This window comes from Homo sapiens, chromosome 14 (genome assembly GCF_000001405.40).
Source record: "Homo sapiens chromosome 14, GRCh38.p14 Primary Assembly".
Classification (NCBI taxonomy): Eukaryota; Metazoa; Chordata; class Mammalia; order Primates; family Hominidae; genus Homo; species Homo sapiens.
The window spans coordinates 94,936,062-94,938,896 of record NC_000014.9 but is presented as its reverse complement, the minus strand read 5'-3'; the positions used below and the strand labels follow the sequence as shown (position 1 = coordinate 94,938,896).

Sequence of the window (2,835 nt, the reverse complement as noted above, 5' to 3'; positions counted from 1 at the left end):
CCCATCAACCACACACACACACACACACACACACACACACACACACACACAACCACACACATACACCTGCAGACATACATGGACACACAGAGACAAACACAGCATACATACCACACAGATATGCACACATACACCATACACATCACACAGACACACACACCCCATAGACATGCATGCACACAGACAGACCCACATACGGACAGACACACACATACATACCACACAGACACACACACACACATACACAACCACACACATACACCTGCAGACATACATGGGCACACAGAGACAAACACAGCATACATACCACACAGACACGCACACATACACCATACACATCACACAGACACACACACCCCATAGACATGCATGCACACAGACAGACCCACATACGGACAGACACACACATACATACCACACAGACACACACACATATACCATACACATCACACAGACACACACACACAATAGATATGCATGCACACAGACTCAGACACAGACACACACACAGATACATGCCACATAGACACACACACACGATATATACCACATGGACACACACACCACACAAAGACACATGCATACAATGAACACACACACACACCACAGACATGCATGGACTCATACACAGACTCATACAGACCATGCACCACACAGACACATGTGCATACAGACACACACACAGACTCACACACACAACCCATAGACATGCATGGGCACAACACACACTCACACACCACACGGATACACACACACACCATATACACCACACAGACACACACATATAGACACATACACATACCACATGAACACACACATATGTCATATACATCACACACACACACAGACACACCCCAGACATACACACATATACCATACATGCCACATAGACACACACACACCATACCTACCACACAGACACACACACACATACACCATACATAGCATACAGACACACACACACTATACATACCACATGGACACACAAGCCACACACAGACACACTCAGACACACACACCATAGACATTCATGAATACACAGGCCCACACACACCCCACACAGATATACACACACAGAGACACACCATACACCACACAGATACATATACACAGACACACACACACAGACTCACACAATCTGTAGGTGTGCAGGGACACACACAGACTCACGCACCACACAGATACACACACACACCATATACACCACACAGACACGCACATACAGACATGCACACCACACAGACACAGCCGTTCTCTCTCTCATACACACCCCTCCTTATTTAGTGGACCCAAGGGAGAGATAAAAACAGAGTTTACCACCGTAAAGCCCCTCACACTTTCAGCAGTTGCGTGGCACACAGAGCCCGGGACCTGGGGAAATGGGTCCCTCCCAGGACCTGTTTCCCTTTAATATCCAGGCGACCCTTTTAAAGGGGCAGCCTGCTCTAAAGTTCTGGGCCTATAAGAAGTTTTCTTCTTCACTGTTTAAGAAGCTCTTTCAAGCTCCCTGGTGTGAGGAACGCCACTTTTAAACATGTTTATCCTGAGGGACTTCTGAGAAAGTCACTTCGGTCTGCCTGGCCTTAGAGGGACGGGTGACTCGGGAGCAGCTGCCGCCTGGGAGACCCCACATTTTCCTGGTGACTTCAGTGTGGAGGAACCAGCACCCGCCGAGAGGGCCCCCCCCTCCAAGGGAATCCCACGGGCAGGCCGCCTGGGGCAGGCTTGGCTGGACTCCACTGGAAAGCCTCCGTCTGTGTTTGGGAGGCAGGTTCACCTCTGTCCAGCCCCCTGGCTGAGGACCAAGCCCCCGGGGGCCACGGGTGACCTGAACAGGCGGCCCTGGCCCTCCCGCCAACCCCAGTGGCCTGCGCCTGGCCCGGCCCCTTGGCTCCTCGAGTAAATCAGCACCGTCAGTGTGGTAGCAGCTTGATTAAAGTTCAGGGGTTTAATAGATCATTTAAAAAAAAAACCCAAATTACTCCCACCCCAGCCCAGCCACCTGGCCCGCTGCCCCCGGTGCGCGGCAGCCCTCGGCCGGCACCGCCAAGGCCAGGCCGGGCCGAGGTTCCTGCCTATTCCCGGAGGACGCCCGCCGCCGAGTGAGCCCAACATTCTCAGCTGCATTTAATCTGCCCTGAGACAGGCTGGCGATGAGAAAATGCAAGGGGCAAGGCACGTGAGGCGAGACGTGGAAGGGGTTGGACAGTTGGTCGGCTTTGTTCACTTGGTAACCTGGAGCGGGGCCAGCCTCGGAGGAGCTCCCTTGGCAGCAGAAGTCTGTTCCAATTAATCGTGTTTAACCATTCTAATCACACTTTAGCACATTAATCCTATTTTCAATCCAAAACACATCTGAAACAGCGGCATGTGGGCCTTTTTATGGGAACCGCAAATCAGATGTAACGGAGAGACACAGGGCCCTCGTTTGCTCTGCACTTTCACTGAACTTAAACTTAATAAAATATGGGACTGGCTTGTGGTTGGATTTACTGCACGATGCTGATGCTTTCACATATAAATAGATCCCTTAAGTGACTTAAAAACCTGTCAGAGAGTGCAGCGAAAATTTGATTATAAGGTAACCAGTGCTGTGCTTTCTCCCCCTCCTCCTAACAGTGCCATTGTGGGTCTGATCGGTGGGTGGGTGGGTGGGTGGGGGGCTGTCTGGCTTCCTGAGCCTCTGCTGGCGCCTGCCAGAGGTGGCAGCGATGCCCGGGGAGGCTCCGAGGGCTGGTGCTGAGCGGCCTTGTAAAGGGTTTATGGAGGTGTAATCTTGAAAACTTGATAAACCTCAAGCACCTCATCTCCGATGTTGCTGTCGAGTTTTTCAAG

General features: G+C 51.5%; 1 annotated feature.

Moving 5' to 3' along the window:
- Window positions 1,248–1,747: an enhancer, noted in NCBI's record as "H3K4me1 hESC enhancer chr14:95403487-95403986 (GRCh37/hg19 assembly coordinates)". NCBI's record gives its function as "activates a minimal SCP1, AML or CMV promoter by ChIP-STARR-seq in primed H9 embryonic stem cells {active_cell/tissue: H9 hESC(primed)}" and the evidence as "EXISTENCE:reporter gene assay evidence [ECO:0000049][PMID:30033119]".